This window comes from Homo sapiens, chromosome 8 (genome assembly GCF_000001405.40).
Source record: "Homo sapiens chromosome 8, GRCh38.p14 Primary Assembly".
Taxonomy (NCBI): Eukaryota; Metazoa; Chordata; class Mammalia; order Primates; family Hominidae; genus Homo; species Homo sapiens.
Window position 1 is genome coordinate 40,803,064 of NC_000008.11, and position 27,817 is coordinate 40,830,880.

The 27,817-nt window shown below is 40.1% G+C and overlaps 1 protein-coding gene across 6 annotated transcripts in view, besides 1 other annotated feature; it reads right to left on the bottom strand.

Annotated features, from left to right (window-relative positions):
• The window catches only part of ZMAT4 (zinc finger matrin-type 4), a 367,237-nt gene that overhangs the window by 272,474 nt on the left and 66,946 nt on the right, over positions 1-27,817 (bottom strand). For 3 of the 6 annotated variants that reach the window (NM_001135731.2, NM_024645.3, XM_017013836.3), the window contains exon 2: positions 22,512-22,617. In NM_001135731.2, the coding sequence (NP_001129203.1) occupies positions 22,512-22,613 (102 nt within the window). In that variant the 5' untranslated portion in view covers positions 22,614-22,617. Of the gene's footprint in view, positions 1-5,445; positions 5,509-22,511; positions 22,618-27,817 lie in introns of those variants that run through there. The other 3 variants (XM_047422236.1, XM_024447275.2, XM_047422237.1) reach the window with 2 other exon arrangements.
• Positions 294-795: an enhancer, noted in NCBI's record as "NANOG hESC enhancer chr8:40660876-40661377 (GRCh37/hg19 assembly coordinates)". NCBI's record gives its function as "activates a minimal SCP1, AML or CMV promoter by ChIP-STARR-seq in primed H9 embryonic stem cells {active_cell/tissue: H9 hESC(primed)}" and the evidence as "EXISTENCE:reporter gene assay evidence [ECO:0000049][PMID:30033119]".

Here is a 27,817-nt window from a genome sequence, read left to right on the forward strand (position 1 = left end):
AAAGGAACACAAAATGAGCCACAGACCTAAATTTAAAATATACAACTATGAAATTTCTAGAAGATAATACAGGAAAATATCTAGATGACCTTGGGACCAGTGATAATTTTTTAGTTGCAACACTGTAGGCATGATCTATAAAAGAAAAAATTGACAAGCTGGGCTTTAATAAAATTAAAAATTTCTATTGTGTGAAAAACATTGTTGAGAAAATGAAAAGGCAGCCAAAGATTGAGATAAAATATTTGCAAAATATTTCTGCTTCTGTCTTAATTCCCTACCCAAAAGATAAAGGACTGTTATCCAAAATATGCAAAGAACTCTTAAAACTCAACAAGAACACAACCCCACTAAAAAATGGGCCAAAGACCTTAAGAGACACCTCACCAAAGAAGGTACACAGGTGGCAAATAAGCATATGAAAAGATGCTCCATATCAGAAGTCATCAGGGAACTGCAAATTAAAATAACAATGAGATACCACTACATATTACAATGGCCAAAATCCAGAACACTGACAATAGTATTGGATGTGGAGCATCAGGAGCTCTCATCATTGCTGGTGGAGATGTAAAATGGTACAGCCACTTTGGAAGACAATTTGGCAGTTTCTTACAAAACTAACCATACTCCTTCCATATAATCCAGAAATCACACTCGTTGGTATATAGCCAAAGGAGTGAAAAACTTGTGCCCACAAAAAAAGCCTGCACACGAATATTTATAGCAACTTTATTCATAATTGCCAAAACTTGGAAGCAACCAAGAGGCCCTTCAGTAGATGAAGGTATAAGCTGTGGGACATCCAAACAATGGACTATTATTCATCACTAAAAAGAAATGAACTATCAACCCATGAAAAGACATGAAGGAAACTTAAATGCAGCTTGCATTTACTACATTTAAGAAGCTAATCTGAAAAGGCTGCATAATGTATGATTCCAACTATATGACATTCTAGAAAAGGCAAAACTAAGGACACAGTAAAAAGATCAGTGGTTGCCAGGAATTAGTGGGGAGCAAGGGATGAACAGACAGAACACAATGGATTCTTAGGGAAATACAGTTACTCTGTATGATACTATAATCCTAGACACAAATCATTATACATTTGTCCAAACCCATAGAATATATAACACCAAAAGTGAACCCTGAGGTAAACTATGGACTCTGAGTGATAATGATGTAAGTCAATGTAGGTTCATTACTTTTAACAATGCACCTCTATGGTGGGTGATGTTGATAATAGGGGAGGCTGTGCATGTGTGGGGCAGGGGATACATGAGAAATCTTTATACCTTTCAGTCAATGTTGCTGTGAACTAAAACTGTCCTAAAAAAAAGGAAGTCCATTTTGAAAACAGAACCACAACATATCTGGGAAATGGATAAATCAGTCAATCTATCTATCTAATGATCATCTTCATAATCTTAATTGTTGGTTGACTGACTTTGGAGATTATTGGCACAAAAGCAATTTTAAAATATTAAGACCAGGCCAGGAGCGGTGGCTTACTCCTGTAATCCCAGCACTTTGGGAGGCCAAAGTGGGCAGATCACCTGAGTCGGGAGTTTGAGACCAGCCTGAACAACATGGAGAAACCAGGTCTCTCTGCTAAAAATACAAAATTAGCTGGGTGTGGTGGCGCATACCTATAATCCCAGCTACTTGGGAGGCTGAGGCAGGAAAATTGCTTGAACCCGGGAGGTGGAGGTTGCAGTGAGCCGAGATCGGGCCATTGCACTCCAGCCTGGGTGACAGAGTGAGACTCTGTCTTAAAAAAATAATAATAATAAAATAAAATATTACGACCAAAAAGGAGTAACTGAGTAGTAGGCTCAGATATACTATAATATCGTTTAAACCAATATTTCTCAAGTGTAAGCAAAAAAAAAAAATTCTAGAGCTTCTGCACAGCAAAACAAACTACCATCAGAGTGAACAGGCAACCTACAAAATGGGAGAAAATTTTCGCAACCTACTCATCTGACAAAGGGCTAATATCCAGAATCTACAATGAACTCAAACAAATTTACAAGAAAAAAACAAACAACCCCATCAAAAAGTGGGCGAAGGACATGACTCAAAAGAAGACATTTATGCAGCCAAAAAACACATGAAAAAATGCTCACCATCACTGGCCATCAGAGAAATGCAAATCAAAACCACAATGAGATACCATCTCACACCAGTTAGAATGGCAATCATTAAAAAGTCAGGAAACAACAGGTGCTGGAGAGGATGTGGAGAAATAGGAACACTTTTACACTGTTGGTGGGACTGTAAACTAGTTCAACCATTGTGGAAGTCAGTGTGGCAATTCCTCAGGGATCTAGAACTAGAAATACCATTTGACCCAGCCATCCCATTACTGGGTATATACCCAAAGGACTGTAAATCATGCTGCTATAAAGACACATGCACACGTATGTTTATTGAGGCATTATTCACAATAGCAAAGACTTGGAACCAACCCAAATGTCCAACAAAGATAGACTGGATTAAGAAAATTTGGCACATATACACCATGGAATACTATGCAGCCATAAAAAATGATGAGTTCATGTCCTTTGTAGGGACATGGATGAAATCGGAAATCATCATTCTCAGTAAACTATCGCAAGAACAAAAAACCAAACACCGCATATTCTCACTCATAGGTGGGAATTGAACAATGAGAACACATGGACACAGGAAGGGGAACATCACACTCTGGGGACTGTTGTGGGGTGGGGGGAGGGGGGAGGGATGGCATTGGGAGATATACCTAATGCGAGATGACGAGTTAGTGGGTGCAGTGCACCAGCATGGCACATGTATACACATGTAACTAACCTGCACATTGCGCACATGTACCCTAAAACTTAAAGTATAATTAAAAAAAAAAGTTTTCACAAGAACAAAATTCTCAAAGATCTGATGAACCTTGTCTGAGAAAAAATAACAATAATCTCATCTTATTCTAGAAAAAATATATCTTAATTGTTATCACGAAAAAGGGGAACATTTCATCTTTATACCTGGTAAAATACGTGCATTAAGAATTATTTAAAAACCAAAACGGTAAAGGTCTAAAAGAATTTGTAGAATGTCAAAGTTATACCCAGTTTGAGAAACAGCATTTGCAACTTTTTGCATGTGGGCAGTTCGATCCACAGTGTGAATACTCACTGGGGCACTTGGAGTTTCAAACGTCTAAACCTCTATGGAAGCAAACACCTAGCATCACATCATAGTTTTCCTTTGTTTCTTTCTCTTTTTCTTTCTTTTTAATTAAGGCCATTAGCAATGACTTTATTTCTTAATGACATGGATGTGCAGCTCCTCATGATCACACATATGAAAAATGTCCAAATACAGAAAAGCAATGCTTCCTAAAGTTTGGCTTTGGGCAGCCTTCATTCTCAGACATGTGCTGCCATAAACAGAGCTTTGCTCTGTATACGAAACAACCACATTTCGTTTTTAATTATTAAATATATTATGTATACAGAGCTACTCTACCAAAAAACACAGGCAGTTCTTTATATTATTTTCACATTTCATTGAATAGAGAATAAGTCAAGTTGTATTTTCTTTCTCACCAAGTCATCCTAAATCTCTGTGATGGACGGCACATATTTATGCATCTGTATTGCTACATACATCCTTCTCATTTGTGTGGATGTCATTTCTGCTTCTGTCTTAATTCCCTACCGAAAATGAGTGCAAGATTTTTGATGTGTTTTTTTAAAATCTAGAATCCCCATAGAGGAGAAAATAGAAGCTATTATGGTACATTTACACAGTGTAGATGTTCAAAAATATGTTGGGATAATAAATGCAGGCACACATCACAGTTGTTTATCACCAGGCTCCAAACTTAGAAGAAAACGCTCAGAAATAGCTGCAAGTCACCCACCTTTAGGATCTTATGCTATTTGGCTGACCTAAATATAAGAACATTAACCAGTGTATCTTTCTGTGTACCACTGTCAGAAAAACAAGCAGAAGGAACTTGCAGTTTCCCAGAGTGAATATGCCCAGAGAGCAAGATAAAACTCTCTTGGGCAGGGGGAGGTAGTGGGGTGAGGACAAAAAAAAAAAAAAAAAAGTCAGCCGGGCACAGTGGCTTATGCCTGTTATCTCAGCACTTTGGGAGGCTAAGGCAGGTGGATCACCTGAGGTCAGGAGTTCAAAACCAGCTTGGTCAACATGGCAAAACCTCGTCTCTGCTAAAAATACAAAAATTAGCCGGGCATGGTGGTGGAAGCCTGTAGTCCCAGATACTCAGGAGGCTGAGGCAGGAGAATCTCTAAGAACACCAGGAGGAGAAGGTTGCAGTGAGCTGAGATTGTGCCACTGTACTCCAGCCTGGGTGACAGAGCGAGACTCTGTCTCAAACAAAACAAAACAAAAGTCCCTCTTGAATTCTGGAGTCAAATCTAAGTGGCTATGGATGATCTAAGTGTTCCAAGTCCTCAAAGATGAAAGAAATAACCCTGGATCTTACAAGCCGGCATGGCTCTTTATTTTTATGAAACAGACTATGTACCTCTCTGCCACATTCACATTTTAGCTACAGGATTGCTTTTCTGAGCAAACACATTTTGGTCTTTCAGGTGCTAATACAGTAAATATTATCTCATATTCCTTCACTGAGAAAACATTTCATGAAAAATTCTAAATGCCATAGAGGCACAGTGACTTCATTAATTTCAAAACTTTGTTTCCTCCTCAACAGGATTAGAAAATTGATTAGTCCATAATTAGCATCACCAATATCAATTATCTCAGCAATGCCAAGGAATTCCAAAGACATTTAGGTTCTTAAAATACTAGAGGCAAGGCATACTGTGCTTTTTCAGTGCCTTCAGCAAATTCAGCATTTGATTTTTATAATTATTTCTTCAAACATGGTCTTGCCTTCCCAGTGCACATAGTGTCAAAGAAAACTGACTTGATTAATTCTGTGCACAGTGACACAATCAGATTGAAACACTTTTTAAACTAGGAAAAATGCATTATCATATAGCTTATTATTATATGGATTTTGATAGGGTACAGGTCAAATTATGTCTCTGGATCATCATAATTATATAGATTGAAAAGCAGACACGAGGCAATAACAGCCCACAGGGCAGAGGTTAAACAGGTCACTAGCAAAATAAAAAGGATACACTATAATACTTTCCTTTCCCTTCATTTAAGAAAATAATTTTTTTTCTTTAGATCAAAGGAAACTACTATGAGAACACCTGAAACAATAAAGGTTTCAATAAAGAATGTTACAGCACTTTGCAAAGAAAATGTGGTAATGAAAATGCAGCTTAAGGGTGAATTTGGAAAAAAAAAAGACAGCATATTTTGGCTTTTTATTACAGGATATTTAAGAGACAGCTTGGCAATAAATGTTAACATCTTTCTAACGGTTGACAATGCAGTAGTATAAAGCTGAAAACTCACCTTGACTTATTGACACAGCTAGTTTTAAGTTACATTGCTCATTCCCAGAGGAACTGCACCACACTGCAAAAAAAAAAAAAGTGCTGAGCTTCACTCAATAAATGGAGGTAGGTGTGAGCTCCCGTTACATGGTCACATTAGACATCTTCACTCAGGGGAGGTAACAAGAAAGAGAGGGAAAGAGCAGGCAAATCAGTGAAGAGGAAGAAAAAAAAAAGAAATGTGAAGAAGGAAAAAGAGGATGTCAGAGAAAATCTCCAATAAGATGCCAACTATCCTGGATGCCAACTAATGTTAAAAACTCGCCTCTGGTAAGATGCTTATCCTGGATGCCAACTATTTAAAAAAAAAAAAAAACTATTCCCGAACTCTTTCTATGTTGAGACACAGAAAGGATAAAAAGTAATTAAAGGCATTTGGTAGAATGATTTACTTTCCTTTGGGTATATACCCAGTACTAGGACTGCTGGGTCGATTATTCTGTCAAAAAGACACATACACTAGTATGTTCACTGCAGCACTATTTACAAAAGCAAAGACATGGAATCAACCTAAGTACCCATCAATGGTGCATTGGATAAAGGAAGTGTGGTACATACACAGCATGGAAAGCCATAAAAAAGAAAAAATTGTGTCCTTTGCAGAAACATGAATGTTGCTGAAGGCCATAATCTTAAATAAATTAATGCAGGAACAGAAAACCAAATACTTCATGTTTTCACTTATAAGTGGGAGCTAAACACTGAGTACACATGGACATAAAGATGGGAACAATGGACATAAAGATGGGATCAACAGACACTGCTGACTACTGGAGAAGGAGGGAGAGGGTCATGGGTTGAAAACCTACCTGTTGGGTTCTATGCTCACTACCTGGGTGATGGGATCCATACCCTGGACCACAGTATCATGCAATATACTCATGTAACAAACCTGTACATGTATCCTCAGAATCTCAAATACATCTTGATATTATTTATAAAAAAAGAAAAGAAATTAAAGGCATGGCTTTTGTTCTCAACATGATTACAATTTAGTTAAAAGACTAATGATTAAACCTTGACAAAATAATGGAAAGAAAAAACATAGTTTTAAGAATCAAATCACACAACAATTATGTGTGTTCTCATGGTTTATATGTTTATTAAGTTACCTTTCTCTGAAATTTTAATATAGAAATTGGTTTAAAATTGAATAGATAGATAGATACCCCTGCTTTAAGATAAGATGACTTGATACTATAAAAATATTGTTGCTGGGTGCAGTGGACCACACCTGTAATCCTAGCACCTTGAGAGGCTGAGGTGGGCAGATCATTTGAGGTCAGGAGTTCAAGACCAGCCTGGCCAACATGGTGAAACCCCATCTCTACTAAAAATACAAAAATTAGCTGAGCATGGTGGCGGGCACCTGTAATTCCAGCTACTTGGGAGGCTAAGGCACAAGAATTACTTGAACCAGGAGGCAGAGGTTGCAGTGAGCCAAGATCACACCACTGCACTCCAGCCTGTGTGACAAGAGCTAAACTCCGTCTTAAAACAAACAAACAAACAAACAAAATATATATATACACACACATGCACAAACATGCACACACATACATATATATGTGTATATGTATGTATATAATATATATGCATGTGTGTGTATGTATATATTCATTGTCTTTAAATTAATTCTTAAACTTGAAGAAATTCCAATCAAGATTTCCAATGGATTTGCGGACTTCTTCAAGTATTCACATGGATTCAAAAGCATACACTAAACAAATAGCTAAGTCAACTCTACAATAAAAGAAGATAGATACGTGATTTGTCCCTCTCAGATATTAAAGCACAGTAACTAAATACAGTAAAGACTGACCAAGATCAAGAAAATTAAATTCATAAAGCAGAAGAAAAGGATCTGATTCAGACTCATGCACATGTGGGAATTAACACACAGCAAAGTGATACCCCAAATTACAAGGAAAGAACGAATTGTAAATGGTGGTAGGAAAACTGGCTCACCACATGGAAGAAAATCAAAATGGATTTCTACCTTATGCAATATTTAAAGGTAAGCTCCAAACAGAGTTAAAAATATGAATATGAAAAATGGAAGTGTCAGATTAATTATAGTATACTTAATATTTTTTGATCTAATAGTGGAAAGGGCTTCTTAAACAAACTGTAGAGCAAAATGTTTACTAAATTGATCACATAAAATGGAAAAGCTTAAAAGTAACAAAGGGCACCATGAGCAGATATAACAGGAAGATGACAGAATGGGAGAAGATAGTTACAATGTATAAATTCAACAAGGAATATAGGAGGAAATAAAAAGAATACAAGTACACCAATAAAAAAATGGGCAAACGATACGAATAGAAATCATTTAAAAATGAAATCATTTAAAAAGTATGTTTAAAAGTTGTTCAAGCTTTATAATAATTAAGAAAATACAATTTAAAATAACAATAATATATATCAAATATTGACTAGATTAGGAAAAAACGTGAAAGCTGAATAAAGCCAATGATTGGCAGATATGTAGAGATCTGGGAACCCTCATGTACAATTGGTTGGAGAGTAGAGCAAGGCTGAGTCCAATTCAGTAATAATATACCTTACGGTGGCTGTATATTCATCTGTTCCATGAAAGGGTTGAATGTACTAAGTGGCCCCCAAATGCTGAAGGAGCCAAAAAAGAACAGGGGAGACAAATTCAGTTTGGAGGTAAAGTGTGTTTTACTGGAGGAACTTACAGACAGAAGCCTGGTCTTGGGTGGTTGTAAGACGAGTGGATCTTCACAACTGTGACCCCCAGACCCAGGGCTGGGTATATTTCCATAGGGAAAGGGGATACATGATCTGTGCAAGACAATTAAAGGCATCCTCCGGAACAGGCAAATGTCACAGCCTGTAATGTGTGCCATAACATCAAGGTTGACAGCACTACACACAGGAGATAAAATAGCAATCAGGAGGCATTCACAAGACTGGGGTAATCGGAAGCCAACGTAGTGGATTAGCATCTAAGCTGGAGTCACTTTTGTCTCCACACGGTCTCAGAGAAAACCCCCAAGTTTCCTTAGGGAATCTGTTAAGATGTTTGTCACAGCATTGCTTGTGCTAGTAAGGCATTGGAGGCAAACTAACTACCCATCCCTGAAGGAATGGGAAAGTTAAAAGGTAATAGATGCTCATTATGGAGTATTAGACAGCAGTTAGAAGCCATAGATTACATGTAAATGCAGGAACATGGATGGCTTTTGGAAACATACTGCCAAATGAATAGCAAGATAAGAATGAGATTCACACCCCAATGTCATATAATAACATGTTAAAAATACATGCCGGACCAGGCACAGTGGCTCATGCCTGTAATCCCAGCACTTCGGGAGGCTGAGCTGGGCAGATCACCTGAGGTCAGGAGTTCGAGACCAGCCTGGTCAACATGATGAAATCCCGTCTCTACTAAAAATACAAAAATTAGCCAGGCGTGGTGGTGCGCACCTGTAATCCCAGCTACTCAGGAGGCTGAGGCAGGAGAATTGCTTGAATTTGGGCGGCAGAGGTTGCAGTGAACTGAGATTGCACCACTGCATTCCAGCCTGGGTGACAGAGTGAGACTCCATCTCTAAAAACAAAATAAAATAAAAATACATGCCTACATACACTGTGCCTGATGATATCCTCCCAAAGAGTACACAATGGAAAGAGAAGGACTGGAGTGACTTTGAAGTGGAGAAACCTGACAGTCACTCCCTCAGCCAGGTGATCAAGGTCAACACCAACATTGATAAGTCATGTCGATAGCACGTACTCTTGATGTGACATAATGAGAAGGACACTTTAACCTCTGTGGTCTTACTCTCCAAGGACACATAACTCCAATCTCATTATAAGAGAAACATCAAACGTATCTCGGCTGAGGGCCATCCTACCAAATACTTGACCAGTAATCTTCAATATTGTCAAGGTCATCCAAAACGAGGAAAACCTGAGAAACTGTTATAGTCTAGAGCAGCCTACAGAGACATGATGCAAAATATAACATGGAATCCTGGGTGGGACCCTGGGACAGAAAATGACACGACAGAGAAACTAAGGAAATATGAACAAAGATTGGACTTGACACTTTAAAATATAGGATATAGGTCAGGTGCGGTGGCTCATGCCTGTAATCCCAGCACTTTGGGAGGCCGAGGCGGGCGGATCACCTGAGGTCAGGAGTTTGAGACCAGCCTGGCCAACATAGTGAAACCCTGTCTCTATTAAAAATACAAAAAATTAGCTGGGCGTGGTGGCAGGTGCCTGTAATCCTGGCTACTCAGGAGGCTGAGGCAGGAGAATCACTTGGAACCTGGGAGGTGAAGGTTGCAGTGAGCCGAGATTGTGCCACTGCACTCCAGCCTGGGCGACAAGAGCAAAACTCCATCTCAAAAATTAAATTAAATTAAATTAAATTAAATTAAATTAAATTAAATTAAATTAAAAAATAAAAATATATATATGCTATATAATAGTAATAATGTATTAATACTGGTTCATTAGCTGTGACAAATGTACCATAGCAATGTAAGATGTTAACAATAGGGGAAACAAAGTATGTCTGGGTACACAAAAATATTCCATACTTTATAACCTTCTTGTAAATCTAAAACTATTCTAAAATTTAAAAATTATGTAAAAAAAATCCATGCCCACAAAGCCATGCACACTTTAAAGAACATATATAAATAAAAGTCATATCAAACCTCATGAATTAGTTGCCCATGAGGGCATAGGGAGGGGATGGGTATGAGAAAAGGGGTAAAAACAAAGAAGATCCCCAACCTCATGTTACAGAAGAAGAAATTAAAATCAGGAAGGGTAAAGTGATTTAGCTAAGGCTGTTCATACAACATAGGCTTTCTGACCCTGAGTACAGCAAAAGCTGTTTTCATAGCTAAGACCTGCTCTGCCTGCTCTGAGGATAAACTAAGAGTGAATTCACTCCAGGGGTAGAAGAAGGAAAATTCAGTAGATGAATCCAAAGGAAGCATGAACCTTTCCATGAAGTGGGAAAGGAAGATGTGGCTTTGGGTCTTTAAAGCAAGTGACGGCTTGCCAAAGGGCTCGCCATAAGGTTATACACGGGAGCTGGCTTTAGGGCCAGAGACCCGGTGAGTCAGACAAAAGGTATTACCTAGGGCCAAACCTGAAGAAGCTAAATTTCCAGAAGACGTATTGACAAGTTGATAGCTTCATGGAATTAATGAAAAACATCAATGGGAAGGATTTCTCGGACCAGAAGGCAGGGAAATTTCCCAAATCAGAACAAAGTTGGGGAATGGCATAGCCAGGCCTGTAGAGAGGCTCAGAAGAGGAATATTTGGCAGAGATAGAAAACAGTTTTGTTCTCTTTTTCCTATTTTCTTAATAAAACTTAAAAACTTTAAAAGGACTCTAAAAGCCTTTCCTGCAATTGGAATAGTGACAGCAAAGGTGATCCCAGAGGTCGGGGAGCAGGGGGCTGGGGACGGGGTGGAGAGGAGTCATGGGAGCAGAGATGCCAAGATGGCCTGGGCACCTCCTGAACAGGTGCAGTTACGCATTCGTAGGATCCTCTGAGAAAGTGATAGCATTTGAAGTTAGAAAAGTTCCACTCAAAATTAAATCATCTTAGTATAGAAGACTGAGGAAACTAATTAAATTCTCAAATCACAGCAAACAAGAAGAGCACACTGTTCTCAGCACCTCCAAGTATCAGAAGAGATTTAGGCAAAGACACATGGTTTTGCTCCACACTCAAGCCCACCTACTTTGGGGATTCCCCATCCTGTTAATATCTTTTTGAAACAATAAACAAGCCCAGTTGGCGGAATTACTTGGGGGTCAGGAATGCATATGTTTTCAAGTGAACACTGGGAATAGAAAAGCTGAAAGAAAAATTGTCACAGTCAATAACCAATCATTACAGGTCGAGATCTGAAAAGCAACTGATATGTGCATCACTACACAAGTATTCACAAGGAGAAAGTCTTTTTCTACCAGAGTTTTATCAAGGCTACCAAGGGTTATCAGGCAATTCAATAGTGCTTTACAAGTTATGATACAATCATAAAATGAAAATCTATGCCACAATTAAGACAAATGAAACTAAGATTATAGCATGTTACCATTTCTGAAAAAGATATAAAAGGAAAAATTAAGCTGCATCTATATGCATAGAATATTTCAAAGAAAATTGGAAAGTGGTTTCATCTGAGAATTAGGTAGCTAAGAAATAGGAATAGGTGGGAGACTTTTCACATACTATACTTTTCATAGTTTTTGAATTGTGAATTTGCTGCCTCTGCAAAAAAATGAATGAATAAAATGTTAAAATAACAAATATTCACATATTTATACTCAACCATTTTGCTCAAAGACTTCAAGAACAAATACCAAAATATATCTACATCTAATACAATCAGATAAAATAAATGAGTGATACATATTTAAAATAAAACAGGAGAGGCCAGGCTTGGCAGCTCATGCCTGTAATCCCAGCACTTTGGGAGGCCAAGGCAGGCAGATCACTTGAGGTCAGGAGTTCAAAACCAGCCTGGCCAACATGGTGAAACCCTGTCGCTATTAAAAATACAAAAATTAGCCGGGTGTGGTGCTGCGTGCCTGTAATCCCAGCTACTCGAGTGGCTGATGCAGGAGAATCTCTTGAATCCAGGAGGTGGAGGTTGCAGTGAGCTGAGATCATGCAAATGCACTCCAGTGTGGGCAACAGAGCAAGACTCCATCCAAAAATAAAAATAAAATAAAATAAAACAGGGGAAATAAAATAACAATCAGAGGTAAGTCAAGCACAAGAAATGTGTACACAGCACCCTGTTTGGTTGCTGGATGTGACCATGAATTTGGTGTCAAAAGCAAATCAAAAAACAGAGTCAAGGGTCTACACTGAGCTGCCACTCAAAAGAGGAATGGCTTTTCTTGTAGAGGAGAGCAAAGGAAAATTTCTCTCAAACATCCATCTAAATAAGACTCTGGGATACCACAGGCAGTGCCCTCAACCACAGGGCACAGCTGAGGAGACCCCCAGGAGAATCCTGTCCTTCCATCTCCACGCAGAAGGTGGGATGGTTCGGGCTATTTAGCAGTGAGGCACAGAGCTCAGGACCTAGGAGACAGCTGGCCCCAAAAGGTAGGCACAAGAGAAATGCTATAGGTCAGACATGCCACTTGGCACACAGGCTCCAAGTTCCAACTGGAAAACCTCTTGTGTTTGATCAACTAAGTCAGGGGAAATGAAGAGAAAAGTCTAAGTCAATAGCTTGTTATTCTTTTGCCTTTTAGACAAACAGCACATTGTTTGCTTCCATTACCTCCCCGGCACTGTAATAAAATGGGCATCAGCTTCACGGCAGCTCCCAAACACTCGGTTTCAACAGTTGTTTCATTCATTTGCCAAAACCACTCCCTTTGGGAATCACAGTCTTTCCTCTCCTTCTCTTTCTTTTTCACCCCAGCATCCCCAGTGCAGGTCCTAATCACCACATTTCCTCCAGCATCACAGATACACAGTGCACAGAGACAATACTACGTGTTCACCAAACCAGTTTCATTTTCCTCCTGGGCATCCGGCAAAGTGACATGCCCCAGCCTCTCTACAGTAAGAAGAAAACATGCGATTGAGTTCTGGTCCATGGAACCTGGGAGATATGATATTGCCACTTCCAGGGCTGTCCCCTAAAATGTCCTGTGCAGTCACCCACAATCCCCATCAGTTCCCCAGATACCAGTTGGATTTTGATACTCAGGGCAACGTCAGAAGCCTCTGCCAGCCCGAGTTCTAAATAATTTTGTGGCCCAAAATCCCCCTCCACTAACATATAATGACTATAATGTAAGGAAGAAAGAATTTTTTTTTTATTTCTAAGATGCTGAAAGTGTTTGTTGCCAGAATTAGCCTGCCTTGTCTAACGTAGATATTGGGGTTATCCTTAAACAAACAAACAAAAAAACCCTAAAAATATGACATTGGCTTGGCAGGTGGGTAGTAAATGGGGATGGTTAGGATATTGTAGATCTAGGTTATATGGTAGCAAAATACTGGCAAAACTTGCCAACAATACTCTGGAAGGCACACTACCTGCCTACGGAGCTTACAGTTGTAGGAAAACCAGAAGGTTCTATTCTAGGACTTCTAGGACATGGATAGAGTTCTAGAAGAATTGGAAGAGGATGAAGAATACTTTGATATATGTTATTTTGTTACTATATTCATTACTAATTGTCTATTTTAGTGTTTGGTCAAGTTTTTCAAGAAAAAGAAGTCAGAATGCAACTGACCCATTAGCAGATAGAAGTCATATGAAAGAGACAATCCATAAATTTGGGACATAGAGAATTGGAAAGACCATTTGCCAATTGCTTCTAGACATCCAACCATGAGAGACGGCATTTTTAAACACATTGAGTGTTGGAGACCCAGGGAAACTTCTCAGTTGAGCATGTGACTCAGGCCTTTGGCAAAAATCAAATGAAGGGCATAGCCTTTCCACTTGCTTTTTTAAGATAATCTTAAGATACCCACCATTAAATTGGAAAAAAGAAAGACAATGCTTCCTCACATGGGTAAGGAAGCATTAAAATAAACAAGCAGTCTTGAAATTGTATCTAGGAGAGAATTGTTTTGTTACTGATACATGGAACTTTCTAAAAAATAAATCGGAAGCCTTTTTACATTATTAAAAGAATAATATTACTAAAGACATTATGACACTAAATTAGAAACACTTCTAATATTCTGCAAGCCTTAAATCAGTCTCAGGAAGGAAGTAGACTATGAATGCTGGCAGTCCCTAGGAGGAGAGAAGACCCAAGATCCATTTCTGATGTGGCCAGGAGAATAATGGACAGGAAAGAACTCCAGGGGTCAGTGCCAGGGGTCATTGGGAAAAATGAAAAAGAAAAGTCCCTCCTGCAGAGGAAGATCAGATTCTATTCTGGGAACTTGCCCCACTTTATGGAAAGGGAAAAGTCACAGTGTCGCCCTGCAGGATACTAGCTTTGCTGTGGACCAGCGATTTCTCTTTGTCTTCATTCTTCTTTTTTCTGGTTGAGAAATGTCACTGTTATCGTCACCATTGAAAAGTGTAGGGGAAAGCAGTAGTATTTCTCTTTTGCTCATAGGTCACTGGACCAAGGGGAGCCACATTCCCACTCAACAGGGAGGCCCACTCCTGGAGATCCTGAAATGTGAGCTGAATACAGTGATTGGGAAGAACTTGAGGTCACTCCTGTTAAGAGGGGATGTGTGTGTTCTATGTCAGGGAAAGAATGAGATGGATAGTTGGTGGCCAGAAGGGCAGACCATGATAGAGATGATGCTATGTGTTTGTTAAATCCATTTCCTTTTACCCACACATTTAAATTGCATTTTCCAACTTCTCCTGCAGGTAGGTGGGCTATGTGACTGAGTGCTAGCCAATGGGATATGGTCTGACTCCTAAAATCCACTAAGTGACATCAACGGCTGTCTGCAAATGAGAACTCAGGCTACAGAGCATACCCTACCCGTGTCCTCTTAATCAATGAGCATGAAGCACATCATCTAACAACTGCTCTTAGCCGTGTGCATATTGCCTGAGTTGGGTGTGCTCTTCAGCCTATTGTCTACTTCGTTATAGCCTCTTACCAGCAATTCACTTTGTGTTCCAGTGAACTATTTTGACTAACAATGACTGATAAAAGGTAAGATGCCCATGCTGGCCCTGCTGGAATAAAACAAAAGGAAAATATAAAAGTAGTTAGAAATCTTACAGAAGATTAAGAATCTTCAATAAAATGGACAAGGAAACAGAAGTTGAACATTAACAGGCAATCAGGGATAAGCCACCACACCACCAATCATCCAAAAAGATCTTCCATATGGAATAATTGTATTTATCATATCAGAAGTATTATCTGTGTAGTAAGTCCTAGGATATTACGAAGATATTACCCTGGACAAATGTACCAATAACTGTACTAACATCATCTGGGAGAAATTAAGCACTCATGATGCCAAGACGTTCAAAAATACTGAAACAGTGATTCTCAATGTGTAGTGCAAAGAAGGCATCCTCCCAGGCATCCTGCCATAAAGACTTTTCCTAGTCTTTACCCAGTTAGCACTTGCATCTCCTTGAACACTTCACCTGCATTACCCAGGGTAGGTGTGGGCCTAGCAGGCCCCGACAGTACTCAAGTCCGGTTGGGGCAGTGCTGGGTGGTGCTGACAGGCTACAGTCACACCGCCTGATCTAAAACCCACAACTCTCACGCATCAGAAGGAAGTCATTTAGCCCGCATGCTTACTTCGGGCTATTAGAAAAAAGAAAAAGCAAAGGTAACAAGAAGAAGGTATGAGAGTCTATGGGAGAAAAGGCAACAAAGGCATTAGCAGCTCTGGAAAGTCATGAAACTTTAATCAGCACATTTTAAGAATCTTAATTTTCACCTTTTTATCACTACCCACAGGACACTTACACCTGATCTCCAACCTGACTTACAGAAGCTAGAAAATGCCCTTCCAGCTATTCCCCTGGATTAAATAGAAGCTAGCCAAGGCCAAAGTTCTGTCGGAAGTCAATCAGAACAGCAGAAACAGAAAAAATATACATGTTTTGGCATGTCTCTGTAGGTCCAATATGCCTGCTGCTACCATGATGAGAGAACAATACTAGATTCTGCCATTCCCAGGTGGGCTAAAAGGGCTCTTTCACCAGTACTGATATTCACCAAGATTCAGAGATGTTTGAAAACTTTCCCACTGGCTTGAAGAAATGCCTTTGCCATAACTATAAAACTATCACCCATAACCCATATCTTGACATTGGGGTCTCAAGTACAGACCAATGCTCAATGTATTAATACATCATCCCTTCTTCTGGTGCAGACACCTAGGCCTTCATCAAAATTGTCCCACCCCTCCCCTCCTCCAGTCTCCCCCACCTTCAGCCCCTAGCCTGTGCATCCCCTGTCAGTGTCAGTAAATGACAGCCAGGAGCAAAGCTCTACAGGGGGGAGCACGGGAGGTATGGCAAGAATGCACAAAAACACTCAGCACATGGCTCCCACCTGCCCTCAGGAAGCTTGCAGTCCTCTTGGGAGGGACGAGGATGCCTAACCACTGATTTCATGAGACATGTGGCACAGCAACACAAGGGTTATTAGGGTTCACAGGAAGGGACAAGCAACTGGGCTGGTGCATGTATGGCTGGCTTGATGGGATCTGCCCAGCAAGAGTTCTTCCCGCTCTCTTAGGTCTACTCAGTACCTTCTTCCTTTGGCTGTGTGTGTGTTTATGAATTCCTTTATTAATATATATGTGTATATTCTAAATATATATTTTAATACATAGAGAACATATAGCAAATATATATGTTTTTATATGTTCATATATATATATGGAGAGAGAAAGTCCTTACTTAACATCATCCATAGGTTCTTGGAAACTGAACCTTTAAGTGAAACCAGGTCTAGAAGGTCCTCAAGTAACATCATTTCATTCAATGTAATTTCAGTATAACATTGATGAGGAAAAAAATTGGTTCCATTATACACCATTTCACTTAAAATCATAGTTTACAAAAACCCATGCATAACATTATGGACTTTCCATGTGTGTGTATATGCGAATATGTGTGTGTGTGTGTGTGTGTGTGTGTGGGCGGGTGTGTATGTGTGTGTTTATGTGTGCATTTGTGTATGTGTGTGTACGTGTGCGCATATATGTGAGTATTGGTGTGTGTCTGTAGATGTGTATTTATGTGTGTATGTGTGTGCGGGTGTGGGTCTTTATGTGTGTATATGTGTATGTGTGTGTTTATGTGTGTGTTTGTGTGTGTCTACGTGTGTGGGTGTGTAGAGGTGTTTGTGTGTATGTGTGTGAAAGTGTGTGTATAGTGTGTGCTTATGTGTGTATTTGTGTGTGGGGTGTCTGGGGGTGTATGTGTGTTTATGTGTATGTGTGTATATGTGTGTATGTGTGTATTGGTGTGTATATGCATGTGTTTATGTGTGCATTTGTGTGTGTATGTGTGTGAGTGTGTTTTGGTGTTTATGTGTGTATCTGTATGTGGGAGTGCATGTGTGTGTATGTGTGTGTATGTGTGTGGGAGTGTCTCGGGCATGTGTGTGTTTACGTGTATGTGTGTCTATGTGTGTGTGTCTATGTATATGTTTATGTGTGTATGGGTACGTGTGTATGTCTGTGTATGTTTATGTGTGCATTTGTGCATATGCATGTGTATATGTGTTTATGGGTGTGTCTGTGTGTGTATATATGTGTGGGTGTGTGTATGTGTATGTTTATGTGTGTATGTGTGTATGTTTATGTGTGTTTGTGTGTTTATGTGTGCATGTGTATGTGTTTATGTGTGTGTTTGTGTGTATGTGTGTGGGTGTGTGTAGGAAGTGGGGGGCATATATGTGTGTGTCTGTGTGTATGTGTGTATGTGTATGTGTGTTTATGTGTGTGTATGTGTATATGTGTTTATGGGTGCGTGTGTATGTGTATGTATGTGTGGGTGTGTGTGTGTTGGTGGTTTGGGGATGGGTGTGTGTGTATGTGTATGGGGGGAGTGTGTATGTGTGTACACACACATATATCATCTTTCTGCCCTGTACTTTTTTCTTTTTCCTACGTTGCAGAAAACCACTCCTTCATTCATACAAGCAACTCTTTCCCTTTGCAGGAAATTATTCTTTAGCCACTTGAAACTGCAGCAAACCACACAAATGGCCTCCCTGGGAAACTGTTTTTTTACCCCCGTAACGCTTAGGCCCTTTCCTTTGAAAGCTTTCTCTTCCTTCTGTGTCTGTGTCTACTTGTTCTGTTGACTCAGACTATTCGTCCAGTGAATAGAGACAACATCTAATTATATTTCCTACTGAAATGTTAATGTGTTCTTAACGCTTAGCAAGAAAAATAAAAATGCCTCTATGTTCCCTATTTTTTTTCACCTGAGGACTTCATATGCAAAAATAGATTTTTAAAGCATAGCATGTAAAGGTTTGGTTGGTTAGACATATATTAGGTTTTTCTGTCCTCTCGTGCAAAGGTTCAGCCTTTTAAATGGGGTGTGCAGCTATTAGGCATTAACCCATCTGTTTTGTTTTGCTCTCCTACTTTGGAAGATTAACACACTCGTCTCACAGCAAAAGTCATACCAAAAGCCATTCTCTTCCCCAACAATATGCCCTGACCACCACCAACTATCTATCATTTAGAAATATTCAGTTATAGAGTTATGCTGCCAAATGCTTAAGAGCCTCACAGATTCCAAACTCTTCTTTCCTTGATATCCTGACCCCATCCTTTCCTAACACAATGATGCCAGGGTAGCCCTCTCAATACTCCTTAAAGATAGATACCAAGATTTTTCTCATTCCACTCGCCCCTAAACTTAACCCATTTGTGGAGGCATGGATAAATCATGACATTCTCCAACAAGTCTTTCTTGGCCATAATAGCTCTAAATGATGCTTCCCTCTTTTAAAGTGTAATATGCAAATATCTACGAAGTTAACAGCACGATGTAATGTACAACAGGACGCCAAGTGGGCAAAAGAACTAACACTTTCTTTGTATCAAATTCCGTCAGTAGCTCCTTAAAAGCAGACAGCAGAATTCTACAGATCATGTGCTTGGAATCATACAGGTATTTTTGCCACACTGAACTATCGGTGACTTTTTCTCTCGATGAAGTTTATGAGCTTCTCAGGGACAAGGATCATTTCTCATATAGGTTCAGAATCCCCTGCAATAACTAACTCTAATATTGCTGGATATACAGAAAATACGCAGTGGATTCTCACTGATTTGCCCCATAAGGAAGCTGAGAAAACTATCAGGTTGAACTGAAAAATGAAATCATACTAAAACAATAAATCAGTAATAGGGCATGGAGACTAAGTGTGACAGCAATTTCAATGAATTGAATGGAATTTCGATCTCCTAGAGACCCACTCCATAAGTCACTGCAGCAGGGAAGGTGTCTCTGGAGAGAAGAGGCAGATTGATAGAAACAGAATATCAGTTTTCAAATGGCCTTAGAGATCATCTGATGCAAGCCATCTTCTTAGAGAAAAAGAAAGTGCTGGAGAAACCTCAACCAAAGCTGGGGAGGCCGGAAATTGATATAAGGTATCCTCAGTCCTGACTGTGCCCTTTTCACATGCTCAGCAGCTTTGCGGCAAGAATGCACAGCTCTTTCTCACTGTAGGAAGGGCCTTACCTCTGCCTGGAAGAAGGGAGGGAAATATCATTCAGAGTTCCCATCCACAATTAATGGGAATGCATTTAATGTTATCTCGATGATGTGTAACACTGTTAATTGCAGATCTGTTGTAATTGCTTTATTTTCTCTATGTCATCTAGCTACATCCAACAAACACTAACACATTCTCTAAACAATTAGATTGTGCAACAGCGAGGGTACAGTATGTTAACAGGAAAACGTGCAAAATATGCAATCAAATAACTAAACACTTCATTGAGCAGCTGAATTTTTTTCTTCCTTTAAACAATTTTTCATTGTTTTCAATGTTCTGACGTTACTTTTCTAGTCAGGCAGTGTGGGGCAGGGTCACCAGTGCAGTTTTTTCACACACCCACCCCCTCCACGAACCCTCACTGAACACCTGTCATGGGCAGGCACTATTCCAGCAATTACGAAAGATCAAATGAATAAAACTCTGTTTCTGTCCTCATGAATCTAGTAAGATGATTACAAATGAACACAAAAAGTCTAATAAAGGAAGAACATAAAGTACTAATGGGAGGCTATGGAATTTCAGAGCAGGGACAAATTCCCCCATTTCCTTAACTGGGGAAAACATACTAATAAAAAAATCTGGCCGGACACGGTGGCTCGCACCTATAACCTCAGCACTTTGGGAGGCCAAGGTGAGCAGATAATGAGGTCAGGAGATCGAGACCATCCTGGCTAACACGGTAAAACCCTGTCTCTACTAAAAATACAAAAAAATTAGCCAGGTGTGGTGTCACGCGCCTGTAGTCCCAGCTACTGGGGAGGCTGAGGCAGGAGAATCACTTGAACCCTAGAGGAGGAGGTTGCAGTGAGCTGAGATCGTGCCACCACACTCCAGCCTGGGTGACAGAGTGAGACTCCATCACACACAAATATACATATATATACACATATACATATACACACACACACACGTGTGTGTGTGTGCGTGTGTGTTTATGAAGCCATAGCCACAGAAATTTGGAAGTCCTTAATTTCAAACGATGGACTTTTTTAGATAATTCTTTAAAGCTCAAATTGATTTCTAACACTTGGTTGCCTTTTAACAATGACTATACGAATTTTTTCACAGGTGCTGATTTTAAAAGTTTTCATCAAACATTTGCTTTCATCAAAACATTGCTGCAAAGGAATTAATGATGAATAAGCATATAACTTTGCATATTTGATAGACTTCACAGCTTCCAAAGCATTTTCACAGGTACAATTTCGATAGATCTCATTTGGTCACCACAAAATCCTGAGGAGTATGCAGGGCCCATTGACTGTCTTTCTGGGTGCGTATGTGTGTGTGTTATTATAGTTATTTTTATTGTGCACAGAGGAATCTGAGGCCCAGAGGAGTTTGAGGAATGATAGTGACAACTGGCATTTGTCAGACTTGTCAGACAAAAAGAAAATTGCTGGATAAGCCTTCCAATATAAAATTACTTACAAGTTCTTACACTTGGAAACTCATGTTCTTAGCAAGACCCAGTCTCTACTAAAAATAAAAGTAAAAAATTAGCTGAGTGCAGTGGCATGTGCCTGTAGTCCCAGCTGCTCAGGAGGCTGAGGTGGGAGGATCGCTTGAGCCCAGGAGGTGGAGGCTGCAGTGAGCTATGCTCGTGCCACAGCACTCCAGCCTGGATGACTGAGTGAGACCCTGTCTCAAAAAGAAAGAAGAAAGAAAGAAAGTAAGAAAGAAAAGAAAAGAAAGAAATTCATGTTCCTACTAGTATATGTTCTTTTGAAAGCAGAACATGCCCTAGTAGCTCTCAGCATCTTGGGATGCCGCAGCACTCCAGCCTGGATGACTGAGTGAGACGCTATCTCAGAAAGAAAGAAAGGAAGAAAAAAAGAAAGGAAGAAGGGAAGGAAGGAAGGGAAGGAAAGGAAAGAAAGAAAGCAAAGAAAAATAAAGAAAGAAAGAAAAGAAAGAATGAAAGAAAGAAAGAAAGAAGAAAGAAAGAAAAGAAAAAAAGAAAGAAAGAAAAGAAAGAAAGAAAATAAAGAAATTCATGTTCCTACTAGTATATGTTCTTTTGAAAACAGAACATGCCCTAGTAGCTCTCAGCATCCTGGGATCTCCCAGTTCTCTTTACTCAATCCACAGCACCTCATTTCTTCCTCATCCTCGGACACAGGCCAACCTCTCTCCTCTCATCCTCTGCTCCCAATAGAGGATCAAAAAGTGGTCTGTTGCTCCCCGATTCTAAACAGCCAGTGCCACTAATTTATGACTTTGAAGAGTATTTGCACTTTAAGACTTGGTTATAACTCTGCAGAAGGCATCTTGATTGTGATAAGCACATGTTGGGTATTGGCCATCAGGTGGAAGAAATTTTCAGGGAGGAAGTGGCCCACGGCTGCTTCATTACTTGCTGCTGTCTTTCCCTACAGTGTTTAACAAAGGTCTTCTGAGCTTATCTTTGGGGTCATAGGTGGAGACAGGAGCTGGCACAATGCATTGCACCCTGGATCCCTGAAAGGAACTTTGTGGATGCACAGTGACAGATTTAACAAGTAGAGAAAGCCCAAGCAGAGTCTCCAGGGGCTGAGATACAAATTTTAAAAAAAGGATCTGGGAAGCAGCCAGAGTCTGACAATGACATCCCCAACCCTCACTCCCAACCCCACACATATACACTTGTCCTGGCCTTGACCTCAGACTGTACAGGCTCAAGTCCTGTGGTTCTTCAAATGTGCCCCAAGTCCAGAAGGAGGATCCTGGAGTCCTACAACAATGACCCGGGCTGCTCCCTCCTACATTTGCAAACAGAGTGGGAAACGCTGTCCTTACCTCGTAGTGGGCCACACGCTGCGATTCGGAGATCAGCTGTGCACTGCACACCTTGCAGTAACTGTCTGTGAATAAATCCTGATCAATATCGGAGGACTTCATCAGGCTACAAGAGAATCAACAGAAAAGAAAAATGAGTCCACTGCTTTGATGTTTATGCAAGATATTAACCGTATGAAAAGCCAGGATCACAGTAACAGGTCTGACAATGGTGACAGAGGGGTGGATCTCCCTACACTCTTGACGTTATCATATCGATTAACCATAATATGTGCATAGGTTATAGTTTTCTCACAAATGCCCAACAGAGTTGCTTTACCCTAAAAAATAGAAATCCAGCTATAGTTTTTCTGTTGAACAAGCCAGACTTATATCTAATGCCTTGTCAAGAGTTTATGTGAGGGCAGGGCACCGTGGCTCACGCCTGTAGTCCCAGTGTTTTGGGAGGCCGAGGTGGGAGCATCACTTGAGGCCAAGAGTTTGAGACCAGCATGGGCAACATAGAGAGATTCTGTCTCTACAAAACTAAAAATTCTTAAAAAGGATTTATGTGAGATATTTTTGCATGTTATATATATTTATATGTTAATTAAATGTTGTAAGCACCTAATATATCCAACAATAGAAAGTGGGTTAAATGAACTTTGATATATCATCACACTAGAAAACTATGTGGCTTCCAAATCCAAATTCAGATAAATTATTCTTTCAGGGAACATTAGGAAAAGGTTTACCATTAACAAAAGAGATTTTTAAGTACATATAGCATTATACAAAATTTGTTTTAAAATATGTATAGATGCATTAAAAAACATTCCAGGAAATTATAACATAATTTTAATAGCACTTATCTTTGGGAAATGACAGAAAATTGCTTTTGCAATTTTCTTCATTTTTAAATTTTTCTTCAACAATCACATATTACTTTTGTAGTCAAGGAAGAAGTTAGCTTTGTCTAGAGCCTTTAAGCGGTATAAAATCTAGTTTAGAGTTAAATAGTTGCACTTAGAAAATTAAAAAATACAATCAGACTAAACTATAACTTTCCTTGTAACCCCATACTTTGCAACACGGGGAGACCTCACTATTCAAGCTGACTCTTCTCCATTTAGGGTGGTTGAATTCATAAAGGCCACCTCCACCACCGCACACCACAAATGATCCCACAAAGTAAATAAACATATTCTCAAATTCCAAACCCGGAATCAAAATGCAGCCAAGGATCTCAAGCTTCTGAAAGCGATCTGTCGGAAACGGATCTTATGGCAGCTGAAGGATCTCATGTTACCACCCTGGAAACACACCCCAGTGCATCCGATTCCTTCACCCAGCCCACAAACTCCACTTGTTTCACCTCCTACCCGTCAAGCAAGAAGTAAAGACCATGGCAGACAGCATGCTGTATGAAGAGGCAAAAGAATCTCAGACAACAGCAATATGGTAGGCACTTTGGACTTTATCTTATTTCACCACCATCATCTTACCTATAAGACAGTCCAAAGTTACATTGCTAGTCATTTGCATAGCCAAAAATATGGCCTCGCTTGCATGATTCCAATTTCCACAAGCTAGATCCATCCTAGGTCTGATGCTACCACATGGCATTGGATGAGTCACTCAATGCTCCATACCTCAGTTTCCCCCATATAAAAATTGAGATAATAATATTTACCATGCCTTCTAAGAAAGTGATAGTGAAGATCACAGGGAGAAATATATGAGAAAGTGCTATATCAACCGTAAAACTCTCTGCATTTGAAAGGGATCAGTAGTATATTTTTAATAACATCCTGATGTTGGCAAGATGTTGGCCAAGTCCTGAACAATGCAACAGTGAACTGTGTAAAGTAAAGTGAACTGTGGTTCACTTTAGGTGATTTTTGAAATGATCTAAATAACCAGACCACATTCATAAAGTATCTGCCTGAAATAAAAGGATGTCTGCCTCAAGTACTCCAATCTCACGTTCTGTCCTTGGCCCTGGCTCTAGTGGCTCATTCAGGGCATTTGTCTTCAGCAATTCAAAAGGATTCACAGTTTCTGCTCCTAAGAGACAATAATGCCTGTGGTTTTTCAATGCCCCCAGCAAGCAATAGTTATGCCAGGTACCACTGTGTCTCATGGTTGATATGGGCCTGTTATTTCAAAAAGGACCACACCTGGCAGGTGGCCCAATTGGCCTGGAGTCTAGCACCTGCTGTGCCTGCAGGTTCACCTCCTCCCCCACAAGGCAACCTGTTCCAGAGAGGGCAGAAGCTCTAGTTGTTAAGTTTTTCTTAGGTTGAATTAAAATCTGTCCCACCGTAGTTTTCATTCAGTGATTCTGTCATTAGGTACAACATGGCACCACACCAGTCTCCATTTTTTCATGAGATATCCTCCCTTGAGTGTCTGAAGATAACACTCTTCTATCTACTTCCAAGTCCTACCCAGCCTCATCATCTTGCCCTGAGTCTATTTCATTATAGTCCATCTTCAAAAGCAAGACCAAGAACAGAATGCGGGCACTCCGGAGATGGTCTACATGAGGCAAAGGATTGCCAATTCCAGTGCCAACCCACAATATCATAGTCATTTGTAATGGTCTCCATTCATGTCCCAGAATGTAAATGAAGAAAAGATGTTTTGATGATGAAGAACTGGAGTACAACATTTTGAAATGTCTAATGGGAAAAGAAAACTTACTAAGGTATATTTTTTAAGCCAAGCTCCTATAAGTGGTTGTGTTTAAATATTATCATGTTCCCTGCTATTTCTAATGAAGAAGCACACAAAAATAGATTCACGGATGACCTGGTTAATAGGAATCTCCAAACTCACTGCACACTCCTTCCTCATTATACAACCAACTGCAAAAATCAAACACTGTGAAAGGATATTCAAGGTACGTGTCGGACCAAGCAGGCCCGTAGGAGTCTGAGTCTCGGTAAAGCAGCTGTGCAACAGAAATAGCTTTAAAGGCAGAATATAAAATGTGTATACTAAAAAAAATTCAAGGGAAGAGAAAATATCTTGGCTTTTTCCACTGTTTTATATAAGAATATTGATTTGAACAAGTCCATATGCAATTTTTTAAAAGGCAATAAGGACCCCTCTGAAATCGATGACACCTGAGTGGAATATCTGAACAAGTCACATTCCAGTGGGAGGCAATTAGTGGACAAGTGTCAGCCTGTTTTGTACATGAGGGCTTTCCCTCCAGAAAAAGAGAGCGCAGTCCATGTAGGTCACTTTAGACAACCAGAGGGTCCGATTTATCATGCAGAGACTGGAATTCCCAAGAAGGGAGGATGTCACTTGCTCCCCTCCCCTGGTTTGTTTAGAAGAGGATTTTAGCTTCACTGGCCTTCACTGTCTTCACCAAGACAGCTGGTAAGAAAAAGGAAAAAAAAAAAAAATTTCCAGTTTTTTAGCCTTGTCCATGGTCCTGAGGAGCCCACGCGCTACTCCAGCAACTGGAGTAGAGACAGAGCCACTGATCACTTACTGGTCAGTCCAATCTGTCCCATCAGATCCAGTGTCTAGTGACCTCCCCCTGGAAACATTCGTATTGTGCTGTGCCATGAGGCCTTGGGACATTCTGAGGAGGGATACAAGAGTAGGGGAAGACAGGAATTTGATTTCCTGGGTCTGAAACAGATCTGAAAGAAAGCACCATCTGTACTCCCAGGCCCAGCACATTGCAAAGGCACATTGCAAAGGCAGGCACATTGCCAAGCAACCACTGGAGGATCTAAATGACCTCTCATCACTCTCCAGTACTCACAGAGGTTGGCACTATCTGCAATGGAGGTAAGAGGCCTCCACCCGATGTGGACGCAGTACTAGAGCAGGGAGTCTGGTCACATTTTCACGTGCTGTCCGGGGGTCTGAGTTCCTACAGATCCATGTGTATAGCAGTGATGGTGTGAGGCTCAGAGGTGCATCTAGGTATCAGGAATAAAGGAAGCATCAAGGAGGAGTGCTTTTATTGATTCTATAATGGTTTGGGGAAATCTAGCATGAGTGAGGCTCAGGGATAACAGAGGCACAACCCCTGTCTTCCAAATCTTGCTGAGCTACTGAGTAAGAAGAGACATACACACACCAACACCTAAGGCACAGGCAACTAATTCCAACAGAACTTGGGGGATGGAAAGTGATATAGGATTTGAGAAGACAGAAAGGATTATCAAGAATCTCTTCAAGAAAGTTCTACTAGGGTTGAAAATTTGAGGATGGATAGGATTAGAGTGGAGAGAAATGAGTTCCAACTCAGAAGCTAATTCTTTTCCCTGGCACAGAGAAAAATCTTACTACCACTAAGCATGAGAAGATAATAGGAGGGGCATAGGTGGGGTTAATTTGGAATAATTTAACATAAGGGGGAAGGCAGAAAAATGCAAGGAAGAGAATCTCAAAACCTAGATGGAAGAAAAAGAGGCTGGGGGAGAAGAGCCAGGTCCCGAAATGTTTCTTAAGGCGCAAGAAATGGCCTTTTTCAGGATCCTCAGAGGCAGATATGAAACCTTCCTTTCTGCTTCTTTCTGCTTCTCAAGAACAGATTGAAGGAATGAATGCAGGCTAAAATTCCAGAGAGACCTGGGGCTTCATGGAAAAGAGTCATATTCTTTTTAAATTTTTATTTTAGGTTCAGGGGGTACAGGTGCTTGTTTGTTACATATGTATACTGCATAATGGTGGGGACAGTACAGCTATCCTTCAAATATTAAACATTATACCCACTAGGTAATGGTATAACCCTCACCCCCTCTTCCACTCTTTCCCGCTTTTGGAGCCCCCAGTGTCCTTCTCTCCACCTTTATGTCTACGTGTACCCATTGTTTAGCTCCCACTTATAAGTGAGAGCATGCAATATTTGATTTTCTGCTTCTGAGTTAGTTCACTTAAAATGGTGTCCTCTACCTCTACCCTTATTGCTGCAAAGGACACTATTTCATTCTTTTTGTGGTTGTGTGGTATTCCATGGTATATATGTACCAGATTTTCTTTATCCAATCAACCATTGGTGGACACTTAAGTTAGCTGCATGACTTTGCTATTGTAAATAGTGCTGCAATGAACATGTAAGTGCAGGTGTCTTTTGGGGTATCTGTGTGGAGGAAACAAAAGCATTATGTTAAAAAGATTAATATTCTTCATTCCATTCCATTTCTGATGGTGCTGAAATAACTTCTGACTCAGAGAGCCCAAAACCCATGCAGGGCTCTTCAGAGGGAAAGACATTGGTTCAAATCCAGGTGTGGTTGCTTGCCAACTAGGTTGTTCAGCAACTTACACAGCCTCACTGAGCCCTGGTTTCCTTA